This window comes from Homo sapiens, chromosome 7, assembly GCF_000001405.40.
Source record: "Homo sapiens chromosome 7, GRCh38.p14 Primary Assembly".
Classification (NCBI taxonomy): domain Eukaryota; kingdom Metazoa; phylum Chordata; class Mammalia; order Primates; family Hominidae; genus Homo; species Homo sapiens.
In genome coordinates, this window is record NC_000007.14 from 66,345,317 (window position 1) to 66,362,624 (window position 17,308).

The following is a 17,308-nucleotide window of genomic DNA, read 5'->3' on the forward strand; positions in this document are numbered from 1 at the left end:
TGAAACCCTGTCTCTACTAAAAATAGAAAAATTAGGCCTGGTGGCAGGTGCCTGTAATCCCAGCTACTCAAGAGACTGAGGCAGGAGAATTGCTTGAACCTGGGAGGCAGAGGTTGCAGTGAGCTGGGCACCACTGCACTCCAGCTTGGGCAAAAGAGTGAGACTCCATCTCCAAAAAAAAAAAAAAAAAAAAAAAAAGATAAATACAAGAAAGTCTGTACCCAGGCACCTAGGCATATCATAATCAAATTGCAGAAAATCAAAGATAACATCCTGAAAAAACCTAGAGGAAAAAAAACACCTATGGAGAGTGGAGTGAAATATCTCTATATTTATTATGTCTTTATTATGTTTTTAATTATGTTTTTCATTTATTTTTGTGGTTACCTGGTAGGTGTATATATTTATGGGGTACATGAGATATTTTGATGCGGGTATACAATATGTAATAATCACATCAGGATGAATGAGGTATCTGTCACCTCAAGCATTTATCATTTTCTTGTATTACAAACCATCTAGTTATACTCTAGTTGTTTTTAAATAAATAGTTAATTATTGACTGTAGTCGCCGTGTTGTGCTATCAAATACTAGATTTTATTCCTTCTATCTAATAATATTTTTGTACCCTATAATTATCCCCTCCCCCACCCACCTACCCACTACCCTTCCCAGCCTTTGGTAACCATTGTTCTACTCTCTATTTCCATGAGTTCAACTGTCTTAATTTTTAGCTCCCACAAATAAGTGAGAACATGTAAAGTTTGTCTTTCTATACCTGGCTTATTTTACTTAACATAATGACCCCCACTTCCATCCATGTTGTTGCAGATGACAGGGTCATTCTTTTCTATGGCTGAATAGTACATATATATATATATATATAATATTTCCTTTATCCATTTATCTGTTGATGGACACTTAGATTGATCCCAAATCTTGGCTATTGTGAATAGTGCTGCAGCAAACGTGAGAATGCAGATATCTCCTTGATTTACTGATTTCCCTTCTTTTGGGTATATTCCTAGTAGTGGGATTGCTAGATCATATGGTAGTTCCATTTTTAGTTTTTTGAGGAACCTCCATACTGTTCTCCATGGTGGTTGTACTAATTTATATTCCCACCAACAGTGTACCAGGGTTCCCTTTTCTCCACATCCTCACCAGCATTCGTTATTGCCTGTCTTTTGGATAAAAGCCATTTTAACTGGGATGAGATGATATCTCATTGTAGTTTTGATTTGCATCTCCCTGATGGTCATGACGTAATATTGAGTACCTTTTCATATACCTGCTTGCCATTTGTATGTCTACTTTGTAGTAATGTCTATTCTGATCTTTTGCCCATTTTTTATTGTATTATTCGATTTTTTATTGACTTGTTTGAGCTCTTTATTCTGGTTATTAGTTTCTTGTCAAATGGATAGTTTGCAAATATTTTCTTCCATTTGGGGGATTGTCACTTCCCTTTGTTGATTGTATCCTTTGCTGCATAGAAGTTTTTACACTTGGCATGATCCCATTTGTCCATTTTTGCTTTGGGTGCCTGTCTTTGTGGGGTATTACTCAAGAAATCTTTGCTCAGTGCAATGTCCTGGAGAGTTTTCCAAATGTTTTCTTTTAGCAGCTTCATAGTTTGAGGTTTTAGATTTAAGTATTTAATTCATTTTGATTTGATTTTTGTATATGGCAAGAGATAGGGGTCTAGTTTCTTTCTTTCTTCTTTTTTTCCTTTGCTTTTCTTTTTTTTTTTTTTTTTTTTTTTTTTGAGACAGGGTCTCACTCTGTCTCCCAGGCTGGAGTACAGTGGTGTGATCACAACTCATTGCAACCTCCACCTCCCAGGTTCAAGTAATTCTAATGCCTCAGCCTCCTGAGTAGCTGGGATTTCAGGTATATGCCACCATGCCTGGCTAATTTTTGTATTTTGAGTAGAGACGGGGTTTCACCATGTTGCCCGGGCTGGTCTCAAACTTCTGGCCTCAAGTGATCCACTGGCCTTGACTTACTAAAGTGCTGGGATTATAGGTGTGAGCCACCATGTCCAGCAAGTATCTAGTTTCATTCTACTACATATGGATATCCAGTTTTCCCAGCACCATTTATTGAAGAGACTGTTCTTTCCCCAATGTATGTTCTTGGCACATTTGTTGGTAATGAGTTCTCTGTAGATGTGTGGATATGTTTCTGGGTTATCTGTTCTTTTCCATCAATCTGTGTGTCTATTTTTATGCCAGTACCATGCTGTTTTGGTTACTATAACTCTGTAGTATAATTCGAATTCAGGTAATGTTACTCCACCAGTATTATTCTTTTTGCTCAGGATAGCTTTGGTTATTCTGGATCTTTCATGGTTCCAGGTAAACTTTAGAATTGTTTTTTCTATTTCTGAGTAGAAGAATTTTATTTTATTCATAGCTATTGTAAATGGGATTACTTTCTTGACTTCTTTTTCAGATTGTTCACTGTTGGCACATAAAAATGCTACTGATTTTTGTATGTTGGTTTTGTCTTCTTCAACTTTCTGAATTTATTAGTTCTAATAGTTTTTTTGGTGGAGTCTTTTGGTTTTTCCAAATATAAGGTTATATTATCTATAAACAAGGATAATTTGACTTCTTTCTTTCTAGTTTGGATGCCCTTTCTTTCTATTTTCTTATTGCTGTAAGACTTACAGAATGAAATATTTAAAGTATTGAAAGAAAAACCCCACCAACCTATGGTAACTCCATGTTTCCAGTTGGTAGTTGCTTAGGCAAAACACCTTGGAGTCATTCTTGATTCTCCTTGTCCCTCACATCCCACATCCTATCTGTTAGGATATCGAGATGTAATAAGAAAAAAAAAATTGTAATCCTCCCCTTCTTACCACCTCTATTTCTATCTCCTTGGTCCAAGCCATCATTATCTCTTCTCTGGATTATTGCTATAGACTCCATACTACAGTCTAAACAGAGCAACTAGAATGATTAAAGTCCAATCTAGTACTACTACAGAAGCTTCCCATTTCACTACCTGTCTATGAATTACTTAATTTCTCTGTGTCTCAGTTGCTTCATCTGTTAAAAGAGAATAATACCTCCTCAGGAGATTGTGTGATTGATGAGGAGGCACTTACTTAATACCAACCTGATGCACAGAAAATAGTAAAGTTTAGCGATTTTTTTTATTATTTTAATTTCCAATTTGCCCTTCAAATCAGAAGCTTAGTTTTGTCTTATTCTTCAGTGCTTGAGGTGGGAGGGTTTGTAGAAACATTTGGCTTCTGAATACCTAGCTCATTGCTGTCAAGCAGAATCCTCCATCTTTTAGTGCCTGAAAATATTCAGATGTCCAGAAACATTAACCAAAGGAAATTCCATTTCTAGCTCTGCTGTTTGTATAGGCAATGTAGTGGGTCAGTTTTCTGCACTGTGTAGAAATTGCTTTGTCAGTGGAAAATGTTATTTTCGTCGGTTTTACAGTTCCTAACTTTTGAGGCATTTGTTCCCTGGAGGATACTAAAAGAAGGAAATCTTCAGACAGCTGCCCACTGAATTTTTGCGTGAGCCTTTATTTGATATTTTACCCAGACCCCTTTTGGTTTTTTATTACAGTAACATCGCATACCTAGGTTTTTTTTTTCTTCTTCATATAAGCCTTACCTATCTGGAACTGTCAGTACTAGGAAGGTACTTATAGTGTTGAATGTTCCCACTCATATTTCCTGTTATGCCTTATGCTTTTTATAACAAGCCAAAAAGAGGAAGAAAGATTTCACCATAGATTTGCTAAAGGCAATGTGGGATGCAATGAGTGTGGTTTAATGGAAGAGCCCTGGGGTGCGGCCTCTGAGCCTTGCTCTGCCACTGACACCTGTATGACTGCCTGGGCTTGAGTTAAACGTTCTGCATAAATTCTAGCAGAAGAGGCTAGCTCAAAGAGGAGATTCAGTGTCTGAATGTCTGAGAGAGTGTGAAAATAAGAAAAGTTGGCTGGGCGCCGTGGCTCACACCTGTAATGCAGCACTTTGGGAGGCCGAGGCAGGCGGATCACCTGAGGTCAGGAGTTCAAGACCAGCCTGACCAACATGGAGAAACCCTGTCTCTATTAAAAATTCAAAAAAGTAGCCAGGCGTGGTGGTGCATGCCTGTAATCCCAGCTACTCAGGAAGCTGAGGCAGGAGAAGTGCTTGAACCTGGGAGGCAGAGGTTGTGGTGAGCCAAGATTGCGCCATTGCACTCCAGCCTGGGTGACAGAGCGAAACTCCGTCTCAAAACAACAACAACAACAACAACAAAGTCAAGTCACTTGAGACCTCAACCCACTGACAAGAGAAGAGGGACTGGGGCAGACCCAACCTGAACTGGTTCTGTAAAGCAGCCACGGCACAGACCAGAGTGGACTGTGGGCCTGAGCAGTGTATGCCCCTGGGGCCTGGAAAGTAGGGGCTGGGACTTCATTTCTTGAATAGAGGGAGAAGGAAAGACACTTGAGAATCTGGTAAAAACAAAAACAACAACAACAAAAAACCCAAAACAAATAAAACATTCTAGTAGCTTCAGCCCCTCCACTGGGCATGGTGTCTTCTTGACCCACAGACAATAGGCAGGCAAAGTAGATGGAAGCAAGTGCTAACATGATACACAGCTCCCAGGGCTTAGACACTTCCCACCTCAGCAAGCTGGACCCATCCAAGCTGTGGTGTCAGGGTAGAACAAATGATTCTTTTTTTCGAGATGGAGTTTCGCTCTTGTTGCCCAGTCTGGAGTGCAATGCTGAGATCAGCTCACTGCAGCCTCCGCCTCCCAGGTTTGAGCAATTCACCTGCCTCAGCCTCCTGAGTAGCTGGGATTACAGGCGCCTGCCAACACGCTCAGCTAATTTTTTGTATTTTAAGTAGAGATGGGGTTTCACCATGTTGGCCAGGCTGGTCTCGAACTCCTGACCTCAGGTGATCTGCCCGCCTTCGCCTCCCAAAATGCTGGGATTACAGGCATGAGCTACCGCGCCCAGCCGAACAAATGATTCTTATATGTAGATTCTTTAGGGAGCAGCTAAGCCAGCCCCCATTGACTGGGGGAGATGATGGTAGCTTTGAGACACTCCTAGCAGCTGCAGTTTTGTTATCCTGCACCCTGTTCACTTTCCAGGGCCATGCACCTCCACGGAAATACCTTATCTATAAGCCTTGTGTCTCTACTTCAGTTTAGGTCTCCTAGACTGTAACGGAGAACAAAAAAAAAAAATAGACCAAGTTTTAGGCATTGCAGGAAAAAAAAGTGTGTTCATTCTCTGAGCCTCCGAAGTAATGCAGCTATATTTATAAGTGGATCAGTAAAAGGAGAAACTTCTTTAGGTTTTTAGACCTGGGATTCAGCATTGAGATTTTCTGTGCTCTGAAGGACTATCCAGTAACTGTCCTTCCAATAACTTTCCTTAGTTTCTTGTTACAATCGCGATTCCGGTGGTTATCAAACTTCTTCCTAGTGGATTGCTTTTCCACTCTTCATTGACATTACTTGTTCCCAAGTTTTTTTTTGCTGTTGCAAAGTGTTGAAATAAACATCTTTGTACTTAAATGATATATGTGTAACAGTAAATTTTTAACATTAAACCACTGACTTAATTCATTTATTGAATTTTGTTGTAGTATATCACACATACAGTATACCAATCATTTATCAATAACTGATGTGTTCACAAAATGAACACATGCTCATAATCACTACTGATATCAAGACAGAAAATTACCAGCACCCTGGAAGCCTCTCTCAGCTTCTCTCTCTCAATCACTACCACCTCCTTCCTACCCAGGGCAAACAGTATCCTGATTTCTAAGATCATTGATTTGTTTTACCTACTTAGTAGCTTTAAATTTTTTAAATGAAGATGTAGTATATTATTCTTTGGAATCTGGCTCCCCACCTCCTCATCATTATGTTGAGATTCATCTGTGTTGTTGCTAATGTAGCAGAGTTCATTTTTTTGTTACTGTATAGTGTATCATTATATGCGTAGATCACGTTTTTTAATTTATTCTTTCTCATTGCACTGTTCTGCAATGCCACCTTGCCGTAAACCAGGCATCTGCATCTGAGGGGCTGTTTCTGGACCTGTCATTCTGTTTCATCGATATATTTATCTATCCTTGTGCCAAAACCCTACTGTCTTACTTATGGCTATATCATTAACTTAGCTAATGTTTAGAGCTATGTAATGTAGATAATTGTAGCTGTATAATAGTAATGTATCGATATCTGGTAGAATAAGTTCTTCTACTTTGTTATTCTTTTAAAACTACCTTGACTATTCTTGGCCCTGTGTATTTCCATATAACTTTTACAATCAAGTTGAAATTACTCCCTCCCCTCCAAAAAAAAAAAAAAAGCATGCTAGAATTTTGATTGGGAATTCTTTGAGGAGAATGGCTATCTTTATTATATTAAATCTTCCTGTCCCTGAAAGTGGTATGTCTGTTTATGTGGGTCTTTAATTTCTCTCAATAGTGTTTTATAGTTTTCTGTGTTAAGGTTTTATATATCTTTTATTGATTTACTCTTACATATTCAGTGGGCTTTTAAATGTAATAAATGGTATTTATCACAAATTTATCATAAAGATTCCTAATTATTGCATGTATTAGAAACATTTTTATATATTAAAGCATAGGTTTTTAATTATAAGATTTTATGAGATTTACGGTTTATATCATTTTAAGAATCACTTAATATTCAAATTCAAATCACCATGAGAATTCTGGGTAAATTGAGAAAAGTAAAGTTGGATTAAATCCAGGGTTGTATCCTTGGAGAATTCAAAAGGAACCAGGAAGAGCTTGTTCCTAAACTGCGTGAGTTCTGTGTTGGTTGCTTGAGAGAGATTGCCTAGGGCTTGCTTCCTCTCTCAGCTAAAGTGATTGGGATTTGGCAGTCAGGGTGCTTTTGTTTTTAGGGTACCCTGAGCCCTCTCCTAGCCAGCCCACATTTGTGAGCACTCGGTAAACACAGAGCAGGAGGGAATTACAGTGAATGGGGATTTCCCTCAGTGCTGCCCACTGGCTGCTCTTGAACTGACAGGCTTCTTTCTCATTCTAAACTCACCAGCAGTGGAGCAGTAAACCCGGCCACGGTCAGGCATGGCACATGTCCTGCAATGATGGGGACTGGACCTGTTGCCTTAAACTCACGCCTGCTTTGTTTTTCCAGGTCTATAAGGGAGAATTCCAACTACCTGACTTTCTTAAAGAAAAACCACAGGTACTGTGTCTGCTTTTTCCTCCTGATGTATACTAGATTGGCTCTTGCATTGAAGTAATATTTTTAAAGAGATAATGAAATTAAAAAGACAGAAACAAGAAAACCAAAAAGAAAAGAAGAAAAGGGATAGTGATATGTGCTGGGGAAGAAAGATCAGCGTCTGGGACTTGTTGATTTTAACAATAATTTAACACAGTCTTAATTTCAGAGAGCTCAGTGTCTCCCAAAACCAGGGAAATACTTTATTGATAACCAAATTCTGATTGCTTGAGGTCCTGCACAAGCCGCCCAGTGGGTAAAGCTGCTCCAGCGTTCCAGTGCCTAATTTGAAATAAAAATGTTCAGCGACCCTCTCTGTTCCTACTCTGTGTACTGTACATCCTTGCCCCTTTGACTTTTCTCATTTGGAGCCCAGATGACTTATATATACACATAGTCACTGGCCCCTGGGAAGGACAGTGAGAGTTTGAAGGATTAAAGCCAGCATGGTGGCTCATGCCTGTAATCCCAGCAATTTGTGAGACCGAGGTTGGCAGATCACTTGAAGTCGGGAGTTCAAGACCAGCATGGCCAACATGGTGAAACCTCATCTCTACTGAAAATATAAAAATTAGCCGAGTATTGCAGAATTTGCCTGTAATCCCAGCTACTTGGGAGGCTGAGGGAGAATCACATGAACCGGGAGGTGGAGGTTGCTGAGCCAAGATTACACCACTGCACTACAGCCTGTGTGACAGAACAAGACTGCCTCAAAAAAAGAAAAAATTAGCTAGGCATGGTGGCGAGGCCTCTGGTCCCAGCTACTTGGGAGGCTGAGGCAGGAGGATCGCTTGAGCCCATGAGGTGGAGGTTGCCATGAGTTTAGATTGTGCCACTGCACTCCAGCCTGGGTGACAGAGTGAGACCCTGTCTCAAAAATAAAAAAAATTAAGCAGATTCAGAGTTTTCCCTGTAACGTCTTCTCTCACTGACTTGCATTCCAATCCTGTTTCCTGGGTTGGAAAGAAACAGGGAGTCTCACGGCTGACATGCCTAGAGGAGCCCGGCATCCTGCCTCTGGGCATCACTGTCATGCCCATATGGAAGTCAGAAAAAATGGACACTCATGGCCTGAGTGCAGCCGACTTCCCTTTCCAGCAAGGCGATGATGCATGTTGCCTCCAGGCTGCTGCTGTCAGTGATTAGCTTGTCAATAGGAAGAGGAGACTCAGTTTTGAACTCAGTTTCTGAAAGCGTTCCAGATAGAGGTTGGTGAAGCAACAGCACCTCAGAGACTTGTGTGAAGTCCAGTTGCCTGATGCAAGCCTGGAGTAAATGGGCTGCCCTCTCTGAGGGAAGCCATGTCTCACACCAGAGTTGAAGCCTCTTCCTTCCTGACCCTTTTCTGAAAACACTTAGCCGCCAGTAATTGATACATATGACTTGAGTGTTTCAAAGTACTTTCAAGGCATATTCTTATTCACATATATTTACTATTCATCCATTCATTCACTTATTCACCAATTGTTTACCCAGTGTCTACTATGGTGAGGAATTAGAGTAAGTCCTCAGGAGTCACGGGGGAAAGAAAGACCTCAAGGAGCTCCTGATTTATCCAGAAGAATCCGACCACCTCGTGCAGACAAGGGGACACAGAGCTCTGGGCCCAGGCTGGGCATGATGTCCCAGAAACCTGGGCAGATTCATGAACAGACTGACACCGGCTGTGGAAATTGGAGCCAGAGAATATTCCAAGAGGCTGTCTTGAAGGAATATAAAATCCAAAAGCGCCCAGGTGCGGTGGTTCACGCCTGTAATCCCAGCACTTTGGGAGGCCCAGGTGGGTGGATTGCCTGAGGTCAGGAGTTCAAGATCTGTTTAGCCAACACAGTGACACCCCGTCTCTACTAAAAATATAAAATAATTAGCAAGACTTGGTGGTGTGCGCCTGTAATCCCAGCCTGGGTGACAGAGCGAGAGTCTGTCTCAAAAAAAAAAAAAAAAAAAAAAAAAAAAATTCCAAAAGCCGGTTTGCATAACAAATCTGAAGAAGTCAAGAAAAGGTATTTGAGACTAAAACTAAAGGGACACTCCTGCTTCACAACATACCTAAAAATATTTCCAAATGGATTGCACACCTAAATGTGAAAGGCAAAATAATGAAAGTTGTTAGAGGATATAGAAGAGCCAGGCATGAGGCTCACGCTTGTAATCCCAGCACTTTGGGAGGCAGGCAGATTGCTTGAGTCCAGGCATTCAAAACCAGCCTGGGAAACATAGCCAAACCTCATCTCTACTAAAAATACAAAAAATTAGCTGGGTGTGGTGCATGCCTGTAGTCCCAGCTACTTGGGAGGCTGAGGTGGGAGGATCACCTGAGCCCCAGAGGTTGAAGCTGCAATGAGCCGAGATCACACCACTGCACTGCAGCCTGGGCAGTCAATCCTGTCTCATAAAAACGAAGAAGATAATAGAGGAACCATCTTTATGACCATAAGAGGACAGGATTTCTTAAGCCCTAAAAAGTACTGATTATTAATTTAAAGGTAGATAATATGAACTACATTATAATTGAGGATGTTTATGTAATAAAAATCATGAGAGTAAAATAGTGAGCCTAAGTAGGAGAATATATTTGAAACAAAGGACTTATCTGGAGCCGAGTGCAGTGACTCACACCTGTAATCCCAGCACTTTGGGAGGCCAAGGCGGCTGGATCACGAGGGCAGGAGTTTTAGACCAGCCTGGCCAACATAGTGAAACCCCATCTCTACTAAAAATACAAAAAAAAAAATTAGCTGGGCGTGTTGGGCACCTGTAATCCCAGCTACTTGGGAGGGTGAGGCAGGACAATCGCTTGAACTCAGGAGGCAGAGGTTGAAGTGAGCTGAGAACGTGCCACTGCACTCCAGCCTGGGAAAGATTGCGAGACTCCCTCTCAAAAAAAAAAACAAAAAACAAACAAACAAAAAACTCATCTGTGGAATATAGATCATCATCGTAAGGGAATTTTTTTTTAAATTGGGCAAAAAGCCTGGACAACATAGCAAGACCCTATCTCTATCAAAAAATTAGCTGGGCAGGGCCAGGCGTGGTGGCTCCCACCTGTAATCCCAGCACTTTGGGAGGCTGAGGCGGGCAGATCACTTGAGATTAGGAGTTCAAGACCAGCCTGGCAAACATGGCAAAACTCCATCTCTAAAAACAAGTACCAAAAAAAATTAGCTGGGTGTGGTGGCACACACCTATAATCCCAGCTGCTCCTGAGGCTGAGGCAGGAGAATTGCTTGAACTCAGGAGGCAGAGGTTGCAGTGAACCGAGATTGCGCCACTGCATTCCAACCTGGGTGACAGAGCAAGACTCCATCAAAAAAAAAAAAAAAAAAAAAAAGGCTGAGCGTGGTGGCATACTTGGGAAGCTGAGGCAGGATGATCTGTTAAGCCCAGACAGCTGTGATTGTGCCACTGCACTACAGCCTGGGTTACAGAGGGAAACCTTGTCTATTAAAAAAAGAAACAATCATGCAGAAGTGTGCACACAGAGACACACACACGTAGAAAAGGGCCCATAAGGTCTTCAGTTTAACTTCTAATGAAAATCAGCAGAAACTCATAGAACCTTCAGATTGAATAATTAGCTAGAATGGTTCATAAAACTCGGTAAAGTGTAGTACTTAACAATGACAGTTTTATAAAGGATGCAGATCAGGACCAGCCATAAGATAGAAGTGGGCCCAGGAGGGTCCTGAATGCAGAGCTTCTGTGCCTCCTCCCTATGAAAGCAGGGCACGTCACCCTCCCGGCACACCCATGTGTTCACCAACCGGGAAGTGCCACTGAACTTCCACACCCAGCATTTTTATTGGGGTTTATTTATGCAGGCAAGATTGATCAAATCGTTGGTCATGTGTTAGAACTCAATCTCCAGCCAACCTCCCCTCCCCAGAGTTGACGTGGGCTCCAAGCCCCAGCCCCTGATCCCATGGTTGGTCTTTGTGGTGAGCAGCCCCATCCTGAATCATCTCATAACATAAATCCAGATGTGATCCAAGGGCATCAGAAATAACAAAGACACTCTTGTTACCCAGGAAATTCCAAGGATTCGGCATTTCCCTCCCAGGAACCAGGGGGAAAGGCCAGTCAGATTCTTGAGCATACCACAGTAGTGCACTGAGTTCATCTGAAAGTGAACAGAGCCTGCGGGCCACCCCTCATGTTTCAGTGGGGACGGTCACTTCTCATGCTGACCAACTTCAAGGACATTAAAACATCTTTTCTTTCCTTCAACAGACTGAGCAAGTGGAGTAGCAGAACCAGGAGCCTCTTCCATACATGAGGTGAGGGTTGGGGGACATTGCCAGGTCTTTCTGTTTCCCACTCGGGCTCTTGCAGGGGGCTGGGTGGCCAAGGTGGAGAGCACAGCTCTGGAGTCCGTCTGCCAGGGTTGGAATCCTGCCTCTTCACTTTCTGTGTGGAAGCAAGCACATTACTTCACCTCTCTGTGTCTTCATTTATTCATCTATGAAATGAGGATAATATTAACAAGAGCATGGTGGTGAGAATTAATCATCATCCAAGAGCCTGGCTCATAATAAGCGCACAATAGTATTGTTATTTTCATTATGAACCATGAAATATTTCAGCTGAAAGGGACCTGGAGGCCATCAAGCCCAACTCCCTGTTTACTGATAAGGAAGCTGGTCCCAGAGGGAGCAGGTCGTTTGTCAGGACCATAGTCCATAGGCAAGGAAACCCAGAACTCAAGAGTGGCTGTTTACTTCTGGTTACCTGTTCAGCCAGGGCCCCAGCCACCCATCCCCACCTCCAGTGGCTTTCTTCGTGTGCTGGACTTGCAGATGTTTTTGCCCTACTGCAATTTTTGTTTGTTTGTTTGTTTCTTGGTTGGTTTTTCAAGTTTGCCCTTGCTTGTTTTAATGTATTATGGATGGCTTATGTGAGTAACCTATATTGTCTCATTGGACTAAGTGCTACATTGTAGACAAGGCCAGCCTTGCCTTCTCAGCCCTTTTTCTATCTGAGTATGTGGCCCTCATCAGGCACATGTCCAGGGACACCAGCTCATGAGTGGCAAAGCTGGTTTCTCAGCCCAGATCTCCAGGTGCAGCTGCTCAGAGTTCATACCCTTGTCCCAGACTTTCAGTCTCTGCTTATCCACCCAAACTTTCTTAAGATCAGTTTTGCTCCAAATGATGTGGCAAAGCCTTTGATCAGTTGTAACTTGAACAGCCTTTTCAAAAAATCTGATATTGGCTGGGCATGGTGGCTCATGCCTGTAATCCCAGCACTTTGGGAGGCCAAGGTGGGCAGATCACAAGGTCAGGAGTTCGAGACCAGCCTGGCCAACATAGTGAAACCTCGTCTCTACTAAAAATACAAAAATTAGCTGGGTGTGGTGGCAGGGACCTGTAATCCCAGCTACTTGGGAGGCTGAGGCAGGAGAATCACTTGAACCCAAGAGGTGGATGTTACAGTAAGCCGAAATCGTGCCATTGCACTCCAGCCTGGGTGACAAGAGAGAGACTTCGTCTCAAAAAAAAAAAATTGGCTGGGCGTGGTGGTGGGCACTTATAGTCCCAGCTACTCGGGAGGCTGAAGGAAGAGAATTGCTTGAAGCCAGGAGGCAGAGAGGTTGCAGTGAGCCGAGATTGCAGCACTGCACTCTAGCCTGGGTGACAGAGCGAGACTTCGTCTCAAAAATAAATAAATAAATAAATAAAAATAAAATCTGATATTGATAGTGATTTTTTCTCATAGTTTACTTGCTGACCTTTGTTTTTTTTTTTTATATAATGTTTTTATTTTTACTTTATATAATGATGTATTGTGCATACTCCATACCAGGCATAAAATACCAAGGATTTTATTTGCATATATATAAGATGATATATATATAACAGATACGCTAAATTATATATACATCTATATATAAAATTGTATTCAGTTCTCAAACCACTCTGGCAAGCTGGTAGTATTCCTGTTTTGCTAGTGAGAAAACAGGTTGAATGTGACTTGCGGTGCGTTGATGGATTATAGACATAAGAAGCACATGGACGCTGGTCCGTCATGTCAAAATCCCAGATGGCAGCAAGCTGCTAATATTGACAGGTTCTAGGATTCAGGTTTCCTTTTTGCTGAGGAGCAAATGCTGAATGTTAGTCTTATGCCCTGTGGGTCTGCATATTTAACAGCAGTTATCAGGCCTTGGCTAATTTTGTTTATACAAAATGCTTTCAAACTTCATAGGTAATCTCCCTGCCCGCCCCACCAAACACACACAAGGCCTCATTTCTTTACCAGCGTGTTGTAGGATGGACCGCATCAGCAGTTGCCTCTGCAGCATTTCACCCTGGCTTGTGTGTGGAGGTTGGGAGGGGCCAACCTGTGCTGAGGAGGACTCAGGAGAACTGGGGACACAGCAAAGCCCTTAGGATGGATACTATCTTTCTTATCTTTTGGGTCCCTTTGGCATTTCAATAACAGTATCTGTGTTCTCTGGAGCTTCCTTTAAAGAACCTTAGGATCCATTTCTTCACGTGAGGAGGAATCAGGGTGCTGACCCCTGGACACTTAAAGAACCTTAGGACCCATTTCTTCACATGAGGAGGAATCAGGGTGCTGACCCCTGGGACACTTAAAGAACCTTAGGACCCATTTCTTCACATGAGGAGGAATCAGGGTCTTGACCCCTGGACACTTAACCTTAGGACCCATTTCTTCACATGAGGAGGAATCAGGGTGCTGCCCCCTGGACACTTAAAGAACCTTAGGACCCATTTCTTCACATGAGGAATCAGGGTGCTGCCCCCTGGACACTTAAAGAACCTTAGGACCCATTTCTTCACATGAGGAGGAATCAGGGTGCTGCCCCCTGGACACTTGAAGAACCTTAGGACCCATTTCTTCACATAAGGAGGAATCAGGGTCTTGACCCCTGGACACTTTAAGAACCTTAGGACCCATTTCTTCACACGAGGAATCATGGTGCTGACCCCTGGACATCTGGTGCCCCTGACAGTGCCCCCACAGTAGCAACAATAGCAGATGACAGTCAGTTATTTAGAAATGGGCAGGAGCAGCCCTGGTTTTGGCCATCTGCTTGCTTTGCACCCAGCAGCTACTTGCATGCATCTGAAAGCACCAGAGTGAGGGTGTGTGTGCCTCCCAGGCAGTCTTCCTGAGGCAGCTGTTCTCAACATCCATCCTCCTGGCCCCTGATCTGCAGGAACCTCCCCAACCGCCTGGCTTGTCTAGGCCTGTAGCTGGGAAGGAAGAGACGAAGACACAGGGAGAACACACCGGGACTCCACACCTGTAACCACATTCTGTTTGTTCGCCCTAGGAAAGATTGCTGCCTTTTCAGCAGAAGGGAAATTCCTAGGATTGGCTGTCCCCTGCCAAGCTTGGTGGAGCGTCTGCACCTTGGCTGCGCCGCCTGTGCATTTGCCAGTTTCCTCCCACTGAGAGGATGGAGGTGTCCGCACAGCTTTGGGCCTCGTGAGGGATCTGCCTCCTGAGCAAAGAGCTCTTGATCCCGATTTCATGCACAGCCCTGCAGTAAGGAGCCCAGAAGGAACATGTGTTTCCTGTTAAAACTCCTCTTGTTCTCTTTTCTTACATTATGACGTTTGTTTTCAAGGAGAGGGTTTAAAAATGGGATCCTGTAAGCAGACTTGGGCAGTCTCCTTTTGAAATAGGTTGTCTGTACATGTTCTAATGTTTTGTAGAACACGTGTGCCTGTTTAAGTGTATTGATGTGAATAATATTAAATATCCTAATTATTTAATTCATTGTATTGTTTCTGAGAAGTTGGGAAATTACCATTATACATTTACAACCTAATGACTTTTGTATTTTATTTTTCAAAATAAAAGCTTTCAATGTGAAGCATTCTGGTAGTTACATGTTTTCATTAATGTGATTTCAGAGAAGCACAGACCTTATCAGATGCTGATGTGATAAACCAAAGTTTCCTTGGTTGGCTGTATTGTAGATACTCCCCTGGAGCCATCACCTTTTTTTGGAGGGGGGTGGTGGGTAGAGGCAGGGTCTCGCTACATTCCCCAGCCTGGGCTCAAACGATCCTTCTGCCTCAGCCTCCCAAAGTACTAAAATTACAGGTGTGAGCCACGGTGCTTGGCCTGCATTATCATTTTGTAGTGAAGTTTTCTTTTTATTTCAAGAGAGAACCTATTGCCATCCACTTTGAGAATCCTGTTCTATTTCATGCTTGCAGACTGTATTTAAGGACATGGAAGTTACTATTTCCACTTGTTTTCTAGAAGCCTTTGTTATGAAACCCAGGATGTCCAGATAGTAGTAATAATTCCCATATTGAGTGTGTTCACATATGTGCCAGCCATGAAAAGGGTATATAACATGTTATCCCATCTCTGCCCCAAAACTTGTACCTATCCATTTAGGTCATATCCATATCAGTAACTGCAGTATTTTCTACTGTCACTTGAGCCAGAAACTGAAGAGTCACACTTGATTTCACCCTTTTCCTCCCTCTTTCCATTCGCATCCAAGATCTTTGATCCTACCTTCAACGTATTTTTTGGATCACAGCAGAATAAGAGTTTTTAGAATGCACATCTGGACAGGAGCCTCCCCGCCTGAAACATTTCAGTGGCTTCCATTTCACTTAAAAGAGTCCAGACTCCTGTCAGGGCCGGCAGGGTCCTCCTCTCCATCTCATCGCAGGCCTCTCTCCCAACCTCACCGCTTGTGCTCTAGAAGTATCTTTATTTTCAGAACATAGCAAGTTCTTCCTGTCTCTACATATCTCCTCTCTCTGGAATGTTCTTCCCTTTGGCTATTTAAGATGAAGTTTTGCTCTGTCACCCAGCTGGCCTGCAGTAGCACAATCTCGGCTCACTGCAACCTCCGCCTCCCAGGTTCAAGCAATTTTCCTGCCTTAGCCTCCCGAGTAGCTGAAATTACAGGCATGTGCCACCACGCCCGGCTAATTTTTGTATTTTTAGTAGAGACAGGGTTTCACCATGTTCACCAGGCTGGTCTTAAACTCCCAATCTCAAATGATCCTCCCTCCTCAGCCTCCCAAAGTGCTGGGATTACAGGCGTGAGCCACCACACCCAGCCCCCTTTGTTCTTTGTCTGATAGGCTCCTTCTCAATTCTGTGGTCTCGGTAAGCCTCACTTACTCAGAGGGATTTTCCCTGGCCTCTTAAACTAAAAGGTAATTCTCCCGCTGCTTGCCTTCTTCATGGTCACACTTTGCAGTGTTTCATCTGTTTGTTGCCTTTTTTATTATCTGTCTCCTCCACCAGCCAATAAGTTCCTGGAGTTCCAAGACTATGTTTTTTCTTGTCTGTTGTACTTTTGGCACCTAGCAAACTGGCACTTTCTAGAAACCAAGTAAGGCCGGTCGCAGTGGCTAATGCCTGTAATCCCAGCACTTTGGGAGGCCGAGGTGGGCGGACCACAAGGTCAGGAGATGGAGACCATCCTGGCTACCACGGTGAAACCCTGTCTCTACTAAAAATACAAAAAATCAGCTGGGTGTGGTGGCGGGTGCCTGTAGTCCCAGCTACTTGGGAGGCTGAGGCAGGAGAATGGCATGAACCTGGGAGGCGGAGGTTGCAGTGAGCCGAGATCACACCACTGCACTCCAGCCTGGGTGATAGAGCGAGACTCCGTCTAAAAAAAAGAAAAGAAAAGAAAAGAAACCAAGTAAAATACTTGGTGAATTACTAATCCTCCAAAGAGCCTTCTGACATACATACTGTTTTACAGATCAGGAAACAGGCTCAACTAGGTCAGGTCACTTACACAAGGCCCCCCACCTAGTGCCACAGGTGACTTGGCATGTAGCTGGGCCCAGGCACAAGCCTGACTCTAATGTCCTCTGCAGTCCACTTCCCTAGCCCTGTCCCTTTCCATTTAAAATGAATATGTCCAGCCTGGGCAACATAAGGAGACCCTGTCTCTACAAAAAAAATTTTTTTAATTAGCCAGGCATGGTGTGCACCTGTAATCCCAGTTACTCGGGAGGTTGAGGCAGGAGAATTGCTTGAACCTGGGTGGCGGAGGTTGCAGTGAGCCAAG

General features: G+C 43.1%; 1 protein-coding gene across 13 annotated transcripts in view, besides 2 other annotated features; it reads left to right on the forward strand.

The window, feature by feature from the left end:
• Positions 1 to 15,127, forward strand: part of TPST1 (tyrosylprotein sulfotransferase 1) — a 161,654-nt gene extending 146,527 nt beyond the window's left edge. For 3 of the 13 annotated variants that reach the window (XM_047420959.1, XM_047420958.1, NM_003596.4), the window contains exons 4-6: positions 7,189 to 7,239; positions 11,509 to 11,555; positions 14,579 to 15,127. In XM_047420959.1, the coding sequence (XP_047276915.1) occupies positions 7,189 to 7,239; positions 11,509 to 11,526 (69 nt within the window). In that variant the 3' untranslated portion in view covers positions 11,527 to 11,555; positions 14,579 to 15,127. Of the gene's footprint in view, positions 1 to 7,188; positions 7,603 to 11,508; positions 11,556 to 13,482 lie in introns of those variants that run through there. The other 10 variants (XM_047420957.1, XM_005250642.4, XM_047420956.1 and 7 more) reach the window with 6 other exon arrangements.
• Positions 4,262 to 4,761: an enhancer, noted in NCBI's record as "H3K27ac hESC enhancer chr7:65814565-65815064 (GRCh37/hg19 assembly coordinates)". NCBI's record gives its function as "activates a minimal SCP1, AML or CMV promoter by ChIP-STARR-seq in naive H9 embryonic stem cells {active_cell/tissue: H9 hESC(naive)}" and the evidence as "EXISTENCE:reporter gene assay evidence [ECO:0000049][PMID:30033119]".
• Positions 17,144 to 17,308: a silencer, noted in NCBI's record as "fragment chr7:65827447-65827611 (GRCh37/hg19 assembly coordinates)". NCBI's record gives its function as "represses an EF-1alpha promoter that drives an FKBP-Casp9 reporter gene in an ReSE screen in phorbol 12-myristate 13-acetate-treated (for megakaryocytic differentiation) K562 erythroleukemia cells {active_cell/tissue: K562(+PMA)}" and the evidence as "EXISTENCE:reporter gene assay evidence [ECO:0000049][PMID:32094911]".